The following is a 13,791-nucleotide window of genomic DNA, read 5'->3' as shown; positions in this document are numbered from 1 at the left end:
AGTTTGACTTCCTGTCTGATTGCTCTGGCTAGGACGCAGTCTCTGTTCTTAACCTCTGAGTATTGCTGCCTCCGAGCCTGGAATGCAGTGATGATGTTTTCTGGGCTTAACAGAACATTCACATCCACCCTCTTTTCTCATCTGAAAATGTGTGTATAGGGGGCAGGGGGCGTTGTAGGAATAGAGTGAGAAGTGAATCTCTGTGAAGACAAATCCGGCAGCTTTTGGGCAAAGGGAAGCAAAGGCAGTTTAAACTCTTATCCTGTAGCAGAAGGACACTTGGCTCCCATTGAATTATCTGGAAATCTAAGGACTGGAAAGATGCACAGAGGCGCAGGAAAGGAGACCTCGAATCCGGGCCGTGCGACTCGGGAGAAGTCAGTCCTGCCCCGGACTCGGCCTCCCACTCTGTCCAGGGGTTTGGGGTCCTGCATCCCAGGGCCTCTCCAGCATTGACAGGCTGCGATGGTGGGTACTGGGGAGATTCTGACTCAGTATGTTTTTATTGAACTCGGTACTCTTTCAGTTAGGTAATTTATTTTCCCCAAGACGCCCATGGGTTTTTGAAGTATGAGTTGAACATTAACAACACTGTGTCAATTGAATTAATGGTTAAAAGGTTTAATAAGACTTTCTGTGTCTGTTTTCAATTTCCTCCACAGGGACGCGAGAGACAAATTTTACAGGAAACCATTCACAACTTTCACTCTTCCTTTGAGAGCAGTGCCAGCAACACCAGGGCCCCTGGCAACAGCCCCTGTGCGTGATCCTCCTTCCCGCAGCCACCAGCGTGAGCTCTCTGAATCCCGGGACCCCTTCACGTGGCCACAGCCCCAGCCCTGCCCCCGTCACACTGCTGTGCCTTAGTCATGTTGTTCCCTTTGCTCGGGATGCCCACTTCACGTCGACGGCATTCATTGGTAGTACTTCTTGCTGCAACAAACTTCAACACACAGAGACAGATTCCCATGTAACAGTCCAGTGGGGGTGCTTCTGCTTGGCAGGTTGGTTCACACAGTGATGCAGGGACTCAGCTCCTTTCATCCTGTGCTCTGCCCTCCCCGGGAGCCTCAGAGTTTGCTTCTGGCTGGCGGCAAGGGAAAGGGACGATGGAGAAGGCACGGCTGCTTCTTACCTGCCTTGCTCTTAACTGACACACATCACTCCTGCTCACGTCCTCTTGGCCACTGGTAGTCATGTGGCCCCACCTGGATGCAGAGGAGGCCAGGATGTGCAGTCTCCACATAGTGGCTTCCCAGCAACAACTTTTGACTTAGATGGGGGGTATGTATTATGGTGAGAGGTTAGCCTTCCTGGCACATCTTCCCTTAAAACTTCTAACTTGCCCCTCCTAGTCCAAGTCACCTCTCAGATGAAGTCTTTTTTGACCCCCTTTCAGCCACTGGGTCCCTTAGTGCTGTGTATGTGACTGCTGTAGCATTCCACTGCACCTGCTGCATACAGCTTACATTGGAGATGTGTATGTCAAACGCATTTTTCTTTATTGCAAAGAGAGTCTATTATAGAAGGAAAGAAGTGGAGGCCTGCTGTGTGGATCCCTTCTTCTTCCTAGCTTTCAGTTTCCTTATCTGCAAAGTGGAAGGTCAGACCAGATGATGCTCTGGTACTCCACAGTGCTCACCTGTATCACTGCAGGGCTTTCTGCACTGAAAGTGGAAGCAGAAGGCTAATGGGTCACATTGTGTAAAGGTCTCTGGTGCTCAAAGTTTCTAGGCAAAGAAGTGAAAATTTGGAATTTTGTCTACATCCTATTAATGCTGTGTTCCTCAAAAGGGAATTGGCTTGTGTAGTTTCCTACCATATCATATTTTATTAAATTAGAGGGGCCCTGACTTTTAAAACCCACTGGCTTTCTGAAGTGTTTTCCAGTGAATGACTCATTCAGCCAGTGCTTGTTGCATTTATGTTAGCTACCAGGTGCCAAGTGTGCAGACACAATACAGAGCCTTCAGGCTCTCGACAGGCAAGAGAACACCTGTAAATAGATGGTCCCGACATTGAGAGGCAGCATGGTAGAGTGGGCAGACCTTGTGCTCTGGACTCAGGTTCAAAGTTCAGATGAAGCTCAATGGCCTCTTAGTTGGAGCTTAGAACCAGTATGCCCAAAGTGCTGGGTCTGCAGGAAGTACCCAGTCGATGGTAGGCTGCACAGAATTCTGATCTCTACCTTGAGCCATGCTGAGCCACAAGTTGGTCTCCTTGGGAGGTGCCATCTCTCATCTGTCCCTCCCCCAGCCATGAAAGCCCATTCCCCTATGCTGGCTTTCAGAGGCTGTCGTTAACTTACTGCCCAGAGCCTCGTAGTTTTCTTCCCCTGCCCTGATGGTTGGGTGTTTTTCCTTTAAATTCTCTCAGCCTTACACTCACAGAAGCCAACTTTCCACAGGACTGAAGACAAAGTGTTTCATTTAGCTGTTACTGATAGACACCTTTACAAAGGTTACTAATGTCCCAGCCTTTTTAAGGAGACACACTCATTCATCCCCTACTATGTGCTGGCAGCTTTACCTTTGTCATTTCATCCTCATGGCCACCCTGGAGGTGGCATTGTGTAACCTCATCTTGCACATTCGGGAAACGGATGCTTAGGAGAGGGAAGCAGCTTGCCAGTTAAACAGCCCAGAAGGAGCAGATCTGGGGTCAGAACCGGACCTGGTGGGCTTGCAAGCCTGTGCCTTTTCCACTAACTCCTATAGACTCCTGGAGCTAGAAGCACTTGTGATTCTTGTTTTAATTTACTGATGGCTTCAGGGGTTAACAGTAGGCCTAGAATTGTTTGCCTCTGAAATTCATGGCCCCTGACGTTATGTGCTTTGAGGTTTTGTGCCTGCTTTTTGCTGTGGTCCTGTTTTTTTCATAACAATATACTGGTATAGCTTCCACTCAGGTAAGTTTGATTGAACAATGATACACAGCTGCACCGGGGGGTCACCTTTTCACAAATGTAGACCTCCATGAACTCATTGGATGACCCTGGACAGAGCGGGGCTATTCCCATTTTGCAGACAGGACAGCAGAGGCTCCAGACAATGCCTTTCCTTTCTTTTTCACTGGACTCAAGTGTCCAAGGCTTTTCATCCTAGGAAGTTTGTGTGCTGGTTCACAAGAGGTCCCTGGCACCCTTTCTGGGGATGTTTGGATGCGGCTGGTAGGCAGGGAAGAGAAAGGGCACCCCAGCGGGGGCATGTGTGGAGGCAGCACGGAACATGTAGGTTATAGATCGTCAGGGAGGAGGGGTCAGTTGGGTGCTTGTTTTTCTGATTTTTGGTCCTTGATCACCCCCTTCCCTTCCCACACGTGTCCCCAGCCTGCCTGTGGCTGTTCCCCCCACAAGAAGCACCTCCCTTGCTTGGCAACCTTCACCAGCATTTCCCAAAAGTATGCTCCTGGGAACCCTAGTTCCACAGGATAATAGGTTTTTCATAAAGAAACGTAGGGTGTGTATGTGAAAGTGGGGTGAGGTTCCCTGGTTGAGTAGGTTTGGCAGACACTAAAGCGAGCTACACGATCATCTTTGCTACAGGCCTCTCACAACCTTCAGCATGCCAGCATGGGTCAGGCCTCTTCACAGGGCCAAGAAACTCATAGCATCTCCCACATTACTCTCATCACTTCTCCAAGGTGCTTTTGCAAGACTGGAATTCCTTGGACACCATTGGAGAAGCCCCGCTTTTTCTGGAACAGCGGCAACCAAGAGGCCTTGCAGCCCTGGAAGTGGGTCAGGGCCCTTGGTGGTCACCTTTTTCTCCCCAGCAGCTCTGCAGAGGTGGCCTGCTTGGCAGTGGGACATCAGGGGACCGGTCCTGCTTTGAGATGGCAGGGTCCCTGTTCTGAGAGCTCTCCAGCCTGAGGGCATTGAGCTGAGGCTCCACCCTGAGCTCTCCTGCAGGGTGGAGGGCATTGTTTCCCAGCACCCAGGCAGTGTCTTGCTGGTGTGTCGTGAGTGCTGGATGTCCAAGTCCCTGCTGGCCACGGAGGGCTCCTGCCTCTCTTCTTCAGCGCCACAAAATTACATGGAGGCCAGCTGGTTTTGTGAGGAGATTGTTTATTTTTTAATTCTTTTGTTTACCGAACGTTTACTGAGCATCTACCCTGTGCCAGCCCTACTCGTACGCTCTGTCTCCAAAGATGAAAAAGGACTTCTCTGCCCTCAAGGGAACCCCACAGTATCTTAGAGGAGACAATCATGTCGGTGAGATGGTGTGGTGATGAAGCCTGCTGGGTATACAGCTCAGGGAAAGTCATCGATGATGGCTCAGGCTCAGCCTGGGCACGCCCCAGAGGAGAGAGATGGAGTGGGGCCTCAAAGGGCAGGTTTAGGCAGAAAAGAAAAAGGGCATTCCAGCTGGGGCATGTGCAAAGGCAGCACGTAATGTGTAAGTTCTAGATCGTCAGGGAGGAAGGGTCAGTTGGGTGCCTGTTTTTCTGTTTTTAGTCCTTTAAAATGAGTAGAAGCAACCTGTTACCCTGGAAAGAGCACTGGACATAGACCTAGTGCTGCGTGATGTTGAGCACGTTTCTTCTTCCCTTTGAGTCCCAGTTTCCCTTTTGGTTACAGGGGGATAGTAGCCCCCAGGGATCATGTGAAAGTGAGAAAGCCCTTTTCACACTGTGGAGCGGTGCAGATGTGGGAAACCTCAAAGATGGTTGCCCATTTTAAATCCTTTCATCTCTCATCTCTCTTTCTTCTCTCCCTTCTGCCCTGACGTAGCCATGGTTGGGTGGGTGAGGCCAGAAGAAACTGCCTCCGGCAAGAGGTAGCAGCCGCTCAGGTGGCTCTGCTGGCATCGGAGCCCACAGAAGTGAGGAGTGGCCGATGGACCTGCCCTCCAAATGTGCCTGACTCTGGGTCTTGCTGTCACTGGATTTCCTGGCATGGCAGACAGAAAGAAAGATAGTTTGACCAAGTCGTAGAAGCTGATCCAGCGGGTAAAAAGGGGGCAGGGAACTCGTCCCTTTTATTCTTGCCTCAGAGCTGCCTGAAGACATGGGCCAGGCCGGAGGCTGGACAACTTTGGATAACGCTGACCTGTACTTCCAAGTAAATGCCTCCTGAAGAGCCCGGGACCCTTCCTGGGAGAATTCTGCAGCCAGAATGAAGGTGCCATCAGCAGGAGGCACTGTGAAGCACCATCCTGTCGCTGTCCTTGTCCATTCCTAGCAAGTTAATCGTGTCTTGTTAACCAGCAGTTCCTGTTCAACGTGTAAAGAGACCTGATGTTTTCCCTAATAAAGCTGATAACAGATTTTGCAGGACTGGCTTGCAGAAGGAATCTCCCTGGGTGAGGTGGGTCCTCTGGCCTCAGGGGGCTCTGCTCCTCCTTAACATGCAGCCTAAGAGTGGATTTAGACCCTGCCTTAATTTCAGCCCCCCAGCTGAGAATCCAGTCCCAAAAATAACAGTTGTTGTTGCCAAAGCTTGGGAATGATAGAAGGGAAATCCACACAGAATCACGGGTAGTGAGCTCGAGCACAAAGCCCAGTTCATTGTCCTCGGCTCCCCTCCCCGGCACTGCGCTTCCTTCCTAAGGCTGAGACCACCTCTCCCTGCCCTTGAGAACTCCCTTTGCTCCAGGACCCCCGCCAACTTGGGGCCCTGCCCAGCAGAGTGGAGCCATCTCGCATCAGCATAGGGACCTCCCAGGTTCCCATTTCCTGCTGGAGCCCTCTCCAAGGCTGAGACACAGGGCATGGCCATCCTTGTGTCGGAGACCCTGTCTCCACCTCTAGGTTTGGCCTTCCCCTATAGGGCCCTCACTAGGGCCAGTGTATTCACTGCCAAGAGTCTAGAATGCCATTTTAGTTTCTGCCCAAGGGAGTGTCTATTTTCCTCACCATAGACACTTTTTATTATTTTATTGTTATGTTTGTGCAGGGACTTAATTCTTTGAAAGATTATTGTTTGTCGGCCTGTGTATATTAAATGATGTAAAGTTATCTTCCCACTTTGACTACATTCATCCAAGGTGTAAAACACTGCCCAAATTCCTGCCTGTCATGGCTGCTATGGAGCGAGTCCCTGGGTCTGCCAGGCGCAGCTTCTAGAAGTCACCTTGCCTCATCTTCACAGGAACCCTGTGAGGCAGACTGAAACTCCTTTTTCTGTCAGTATGGTGACTGTGGCACACAGATGCTAACCAACTTTGTTGAGGTCACACAGCTGACAAGGGACAGTCTGGTCTGAGTGCAGGCCTCACACTCTTCCTGGTGTCTTGCTGCGTGTCGTCAGCACAGAGGGGAACGTGGAATTTGAATAAGCCCAGGCAACAAGACAAATGAAACCTGTTGTTTAGCCTCTGCAACTTGTTCACAATTTGAAGCCTCTAACTTGTTCATTTGGAGAGGAGGGCTTCTGAAAGCTATAAATAGCCTAGTGATTCTATTTCTTTTAGGAATTCTCACAAGTGGCCTGGCACGGCGGCTCATGCCTGTAATCCCAACAATTTAGGAGGCCGAGGCAGAAGGATCGCTTGAGGTCAGGAGTTCAGGGTTGCAGTAAGCTATGATCACACCACTGCACTCCAGCCTGGGTGACAGAATGAGACCCTGTCTCAAAAGAATAATAAGAATTCTTGCAAGTTGGGACTGCCTTGTTCATGCTTCCCCGGTGCCAGTAGCTCACATTGGTGGGCTTAGCCCTAGGAGGCCTTAGGAAGGTGGTGGGGGGAAGCTGGGGGTCCTAGAGGGTGAGGCAAGGGTCTGGGGAGACCATGGGCACGGGGCCAGCACTCCACGAGAAAGAACGTTCCAGGGATCTGAGCTGCCCAGGGACAGGAGCATTCCTTAGGCACAGAAGCTGGACCAGCCTGTGCCAGGGCAGCTAGAGAGGGGATGCAGACTTCGGCTGGGGGTTGGACCAGGTAAGTGGTCCCCACGCACCAGTACCAGGTGGAGGTGATATGAGAAAAACAAGAACGAGGCCATGAGTTTGTCTGACACTGGATATTTCCATTTTACATGCTGGCCTTCATTCCAACAGAAGTCCCTCCTACTTTGGAAGAGGCTGATTGTGGTGGTGATAGTTTTAGTTTTACTGGTGTGTGAAATCCAAAAGTTTGAGCAACACTCTTCTAGGACACTTTTGTGATCCCTTCCAGCCCAGTGGTTCTATGAAAAGCTATAAAAAGAAGTGGGAGTGGCTCCTCAATAAGTTCAGCATAGAATGACCATGAAACCCAGCACTTCCACTCTTACGTATATGCCCCAGGGAACTGAAAATAGGTATTTAAACAAAAGCTTGTACGTGAATATTAATAGCACTATTCACAATAGACAAAAGGTGGAAACAACCGAAATGTCCAATGGATAGATGCACAAAATTTATATCCATACAATGGAATATTATTCAGCCATAAAAAAAAAAAAACGAAGTTGATACATGCTGCAACCTGGGTAAACCTTGAAAACAGTAGGCTAAGTTAAACTAGACACCAAAGGCCACATATTCCATGATTCCATTTATGTGGAATGTCCACAATAGGCAAATCCCTGGAGACAGCAGGTGCATGGTTGTGGGGCTGGGTCGAGAATGGAAAGTGACTGTTTAATGAGTAGGGGGTTTCCTTTCAGGGTGATGAAAAAGTTGTAGAATTAGCTAATGGTAATGTACAACGTTGTGAATGTCCTTAATGCTACTGAACTGTAGACTTAAAATGGCTGGTTTTATGTTATATATGTTCCCATAATTTTTTTTAAAAGGTTTGCCAGGGGGAGGTTGTGGGCGTGCCCGTGACCTGGCTGGTGTTTCACCTTCAGTGAGTCTTGTTCATCTCTACCGTGCCATTCAGTGTGACAGGTGTGTGGCCCTTCTAGGGTCTTCCCTTTCCTCTCCCTCCCACATCCATGTGCCCCTTTGTCAGAGCAGTCTAGATAGAGTGAAGGTCTTCAGCCAGTATCCCCAGAGCCCAGCACAGAAAATGCTTTGAGAATGAGCCAGCGAATGAGGTGGGGCTGCCTGGTCCTGGTCCTGTGGAGGGGAGAGGTCAGGATGTTCCCAGGGCACCAGCTCATTTCACCTGCTCCATGCCCCTTCACCGCTCCTCTGGTTCTCATTTCCTGTCTCAGCGTGGCTCAGAGCTTCTCTGCCTCATGTGCTCACAGCTCTTTAGCAGGATAATTGTCTCCACTTTCATCATGACCCAGACACTCCCTTTGAGTCCGAAGATGAGTGTTCCCTGAAGCGCCCAGGCGTTGGCATGGACATCCACTTGACTGACCTGTTCAGCTATGGGTGCCCTCGAGGCAGCTGAGGCTGCCCTGTGGACTCCCATGGACTCCCGCTCCCCCGCCTCAGCCGCAGCCATTGGCCTCTCCTTCCGCGCAGTCCTACCTTTCTTCTTCCCTTCCACAGGTGTCTGTCCCAAGGTCAGTTCCTAAGCAACAGGCTGCAGGCTCTGCTTCACCTCAGAGCGCACTTCCCAGGGAACCCGGCCTGTGACAAGGGGCTTTCTAAAGAGTTGAGTGTGCGTGGAGGGGAACCTGGGAAACGAAGAAAGAGCTAAAGCTGGAGGCTGCACACCATTGTCACTGCAGCTTCTGTGGGGTGACCTCATGGGTGTCACATGACTAGGAGGCCATGTGGGGGTGCTGACAGCCTCTCTCAGGTAGGCGAGCATGTCCATGCAGCAGACACTGATGGCACACCCTCGTCGGCTCGGGGGATGCACCAGGGAGTAAAGCAAATTCCCTGCCCTCTAGGAGCTTGTGATCCACTGGCGTCACAACACCCCGGCTCACAGGGCTGCTGTGAGGACTCACATCGTTCAATGTCCAGCACAGTGCCTGGCACATGGAGGTGACCCTCGGGCACAGAAACTTTTAATCGTTCATTTTCTCACTGTTCCTTGGAGGGCATAGGAGCTCCTTATCAGCAGTCACCATGTCCCTGGAGCTAAGAGCAGGCAGAGGAGCTGGGATATGGACCTGTGGCAAGGCCTAGGGATGCACTGGCCAGACTTATTGCAAGAATAAATGGAAAATATTTGTTAATTAGGTAGCAATAAACGCACATAATTTAGTTTACAAACCATAGTCACATAAGGAAGAATATGGAGCAAAGGAAAATGGGGGGAAGCACAAAGTGCAGACTGTTTTTAGAGCCACGTGCTGGGTCTCCATTGATCCCCTGTCTGTCATGAACTTGAACATAGGCCACTTATCATTCCTGGGTCACACTGACTTTGCTTTTAATTTAAAGTCTATTTTAAAGAGTTCACAAGTCATCAATAAATTTTTTTTGTTGTGCAAGGTGTAACACATTGATGTTTTGATGTCCTCTATTGAGAGCAAGATCAGGGAGAGCTTTCACCAGAACCCCGTAAGAGTTCCAGGCTGTGCAGAGCCCAGGGCTCGGGCCGAAGGAGCCCTTCTGACAGAAATCTCACACCCTGATAAAGTTGCCCAAGGGGCTCCTGCTCACCTGCAGTGAGCTCTTCAAGCTTCTTGAGCTTTCTACTGCTCGGGGCATGGCTCTTTGCATGATTGATCACTCATAACACCTGTGTGGAGCTTTCCTTGCTACAGCCTTGCTACTCAAAGTGTTGTCCATGGACACTTGTAAGAAATGCAGGCCTTGCAGGGTCCCCAGGGGATGCGTATGTGCACTGCAGCGTGAGGGGCGGCGCATTCATCTTCTCAAGCACCACGTGCGTGTGAGCACTGTGATGCTGTTCCCTCCTACACTGGGGGAAGCAGGCTCTGCAGGCAAGATGACCCACCCAGAGTCACCCAGATAGGCAGGGCAGAACTGAGACTCACCCTGGCTTCTCAGGTTTCCCTTCAACCCCAGTAAGTATTTCTTCTGGTTGTACATGCATGCTTAATCCTCTCATCCACCCAGAGGTACCATTATTACAACCCATGTTACAAATGAGCAAAGTAAGGCACAGAGAAGTCAAGTAATTTGCTTAAAGTTGCCATGCCTTGATTAGACCTGATTTATTTGTGGAAATGATCATTTAGGAATCCTAAGCATAGTAGGTGATCTGCAGGGCAGGGTATTCATATTCATCCTGGCACAGTGGAGATCCGGAATCATGAAACCTGGGTTTGACGTCTACCTACACCATAGAGGGCTGAAAGTGCAGATCGCCTCATCTCTGAGGCCTCAGTATTCCCATCCGTAGGATGGGGGGCGGTTAGCAAATGCTATCTGGCAAAGCTGTGGTGATGATTAAATGAGGTAATAACTGCTGGAGTATATTGTAAACTGTCAAATGCTGTGCACCTGCTGGTTAGTGGCTTTATTCTCCATGGACCCAGCATGATGGTGGAAGAGGAAGAAGCTTGGAGAACAGGGAAGTTGCAGTAGGTGGAACTTCAGGGTTGCCATGGGAACCAAAGCTCTGAGGCTGATCAAGGCAGGAAATACCATCTGGTTTTAGACACCAAAAAGCTTCGACTCAACACTGGACTTATTTCTGTAAACAGCAGAATTAACATCATCCTCTAGCAGCGACGTCAACCCAGGCAATCTGGAGATTATTTGTCTTTCTCCTGATTTCCATGGTCAGATCTGGACAAAGCGCCTCAGGAACTCCGTATTCATCGCCTGTCACTTCCAGAGAAATGTGGACAAGTCACTTAATAAGTCTGAGCTTAAATGGAAGAAAAACACCCAACCCCTTCTCTTCCCAGGCTTTGCAAGCTCAGGAGGAAAGCTGGAGGTGGTGCCCAGGGACAGCAGTGGGGAGAGCTAGGGTCCCAGTGGGTACTAAAGCTGGAAGTACATTTAGTGAGCATCCCGTCTTTCCTCCAAATGATGGGGGATAAACACCCAGAACCAGATGGTGCCAGTCCAAGGTCACACAGCAGATCAGTGACAAAACAAACTTGCACCTAAGTCTCTCAACTCTAAATGCACGGTTTTTCCACTCCACCAATCGTATCTTCCTTTGATGTTTGTTCCAGCATTGTAGTGATGCTCCCCAGGAAACATTAGACTTGGGATTTCTCTGGTTCCCTATGGATTCTGCAAGAGGAGAAGCAGAATATTTCTTGAGTCCTACACCTCCCGGGGATTTCACACAGGAAGCCATCGTTTCTTTGTTGTTTTCTTGGGAGAAACAAGATTTCTGTACACTCCATGAAACAAAATGGTTCAGGGTGAAATTTTAAAACTAAGAGGGCTATGCCTTAAAGTTTTCAAAATCTGGAGGAATATCCCTAGTTCAATGCAGCCCCAAATTTGGCAGAGGTCTCATGGGATGAGGGCTTTTCTCACGGAGCTGCTAGGAATGATTTAAGCAGAGAGCATCGCTGAGAATGTAGGCTCAGGGTGACATCTGCTGTGCTGAGCAGCCTTGCTTGCCCTCTCTGAGCCTGTTTTCCGCATGTACACTGTAAGGCAGGTTTGATGTCACCATCTCTGAGGTTTGTTCCAGCTTTGACAGTCTGTGACTTGATAATCATTTTCTAAGAAGGGAACGGAGATTCATTGCTCCTGGAGTCACCTGATGCTTTGTTCATCTGCTGACAGGAACCTGCATTGAGAGGGATCAGCCCTGGGCCCTTCAGTGCTTGCCAACTGGGACCTGGGAGTTTCCTATGAATGGAGCTCAGAGGGAAAGGGTGTCTATCCAGTCTCAAGGGGAGGGCAACACCCGAGCCTGCCATCCCCAGTCATGGCCCCAGGATCATTAGCCTGAGCTGGCAGGTGACGCCCGAGGGTAGCTGCCAGTGCACCTGTCCTTCCATGCTGTATTTACTCCAAGTCACCCCAATATGTCCTCAGATACCCAGGCTGTGCCCTCAGCACCTCTGTCCTGTGTCGGCCAGTGGGGTTCCAGGCAGCTTCATCTCCTGGGAGTGGAGTCAGGGGGCTTAGGAGCTGGGCAATCTCCCAACTCCTAGTGATGGGAAGCTACATCACTAGGGCTCTCTCTCACCTTCTACCCCTTGGGATAGACAAGGTCCTCCTATCGCTTTTCCACTTGCTAGGAGCCATGGGAACCACTTCAGAGCTGTCTCAGGGGACCCTCTGAGCCTCTGCAGCTGGGTTTGGAGATCTCTGGGGTTGCCAGAGTGTGGAGAACTGCGTCAGCTGAGGGGAGGGAAGATCTGGAAAGCACTATCTGAAATTTGTTTCTAACCTGGTTCCCAGGGCACGAAAATGGGATGCTTCAGTCTGAAATAACTTGACAAATACGAAATAGAAAAGCTAAGATCCCCAAAGCAGAGAGCTCCATGTTTCCAGTCCAACTAAGGCAAGGGGAATAACAATCTTAGCTGTGTGAGCCTGAGGAAGTTACTTAATCTCTCTGAACCTCTGGATCTCTCAGTCTTCCCACCAGTAAAATGGGTATAAAACATTTATCCTTCTATGATGGTTGTAAGGATTAAATGAGAAAAACTATCCCCAGTGCCTAGCACTTAGTAGGTGCTTTAAAAATTTGTAAAAGTTGTAAAGCACTTCCATTTCCACTCTCCAAGTGAAGCTTCTTAAGGAAAAGTGTACATGGTAAATTGCATTTTACAGGCCAGACAAAACTGCAGCTCCAACAGGTGGGATGACTTGTAGAAAGATCACAAGTCAGCTCCATGTTAGACTGGTGTCTGTCTGACATCTGAGTTCAAAGCTCTTTCTGTCTTTCTACAACCATGATATGTATCACTTTCTGAATTTTTTTTTAATTAAAGGAATGAAAATGAACTTGAGCCATGTTTATTACCTTGAGACATGACACCTGAGGAAGGTGAGAACTGAGAAATCCTCACTTTCACCATTTTACATGCTTCCTTTTCTTGCAGTTATGAGAGGCACCTGGTTTGGAAACCTGTTTTGTTGCATGCATCTTTCCTTCATATTCTTCCTTGCTGTTTTCAGCTGTGGAGTTGTTTGTGCTGACAATGTCTAGTATGTTCTCTAGGAAGTTAACACCCCAGAAAACAAAGTCTTCTTTGGCGACGAATACTCAGCCTGGGAAACACAGGTAGAGAACATCTCTGTCTGAGAAAGTAGCTTGAAATTGGGTCATGTAGAAGATCGGGAGAAACAACCAAGCTTCTTCCTCCCTCTCTACAGGTGTAGGAATATAGAATTGTAATCCAGGAAAGAGGGGACGTGAGAGAGCTGGTAAGTGGAGCTAAACTTCTTAAGACACAAAAAGCACAAAGCCCTAAGGCAAATAATAATAAAAGATTTGACTACCTAAAAATCAAAGATTTCTTTTTAAATGAAGGTCACAATGTGAACAGACAAGGAGAAGATGTTTGCAGTATCTAAATCTGACAAGGGATTAATAAGGGATTGTAGCTAGAAATATTTGCAAACCAAGAAAAGGCCGTTGACAGAAACAGACACTTGAATATTTGACAAGCATAGGAAGAGATGCTCAACCTTACCGGTAACTGAGAGACATGCAAATTACAGTAAGAGTCCATTGTATACCCATTAATTTCAAAAACTAGGAAGGTGGATAATGCTAAGTGTTGGCAAGGATGTGGGTCATGTTCGCTGGCATGGCCATCTGGAAAGCAGCCTGGCATATTTAAGTGAAGTTGGGTATGTGCCTGCCTGCAGTGTGCCCCCCCAGGCCTGTGTGCCCTGAGATGGGTCTCGTCCTCCTCCTGCTGTGGGCTGTGTCATGGGGATTGGTCCCTCCAGCTTGCATTTCCCAGGCTTCTTGTCATCCAACTCCCACTGAGTGGCCCTGATAGGCTCCACTCTTTCCCCTTGTGGAAGAAGTCACTGTGTGCTAGGCACTGAAGATACTTTTGCCCTCAGCACTGAGCTGTGTCGACTTGGGGTAAGGACTGACTCATGAGTCTGGG

The 13,791-nt window shown here is 49.2% G+C and overlaps 1 protein-coding gene across 1 annotated transcript in view; it reads left to right on the top strand.

Moving 5' to 3' along the window:
• Positions 1 to 5,277, top strand: part of ANKS6 (ankyrin repeat and sterile alpha motif domain containing 6) — a 64,547-nt gene extending 59,270 nt beyond the window's left edge. Inside the window, exon 15 of the mRNA NM_173551.5 lies at positions 663 to 5,277. Within this exon, the coding sequence (NP_775822.3) occupies positions 663 to 767 (105 nt within the window). The 3' untranslated portion in view covers positions 768 to 5,277. The remainder of the gene's footprint in view (positions 1 to 662) is intronic.

This window comes from Homo sapiens, chromosome 9, assembly GCF_000001405.40.
Source record: "Homo sapiens chromosome 9, GRCh38.p14 Primary Assembly".
Taxonomy (NCBI): Eukaryota; Metazoa; Chordata; class Mammalia; order Primates; family Hominidae; genus Homo; species Homo sapiens.
Note: the sequence above shows the minus strand (reverse complement) of the source record. Positions and strands in the feature narration are given on the sequence as shown.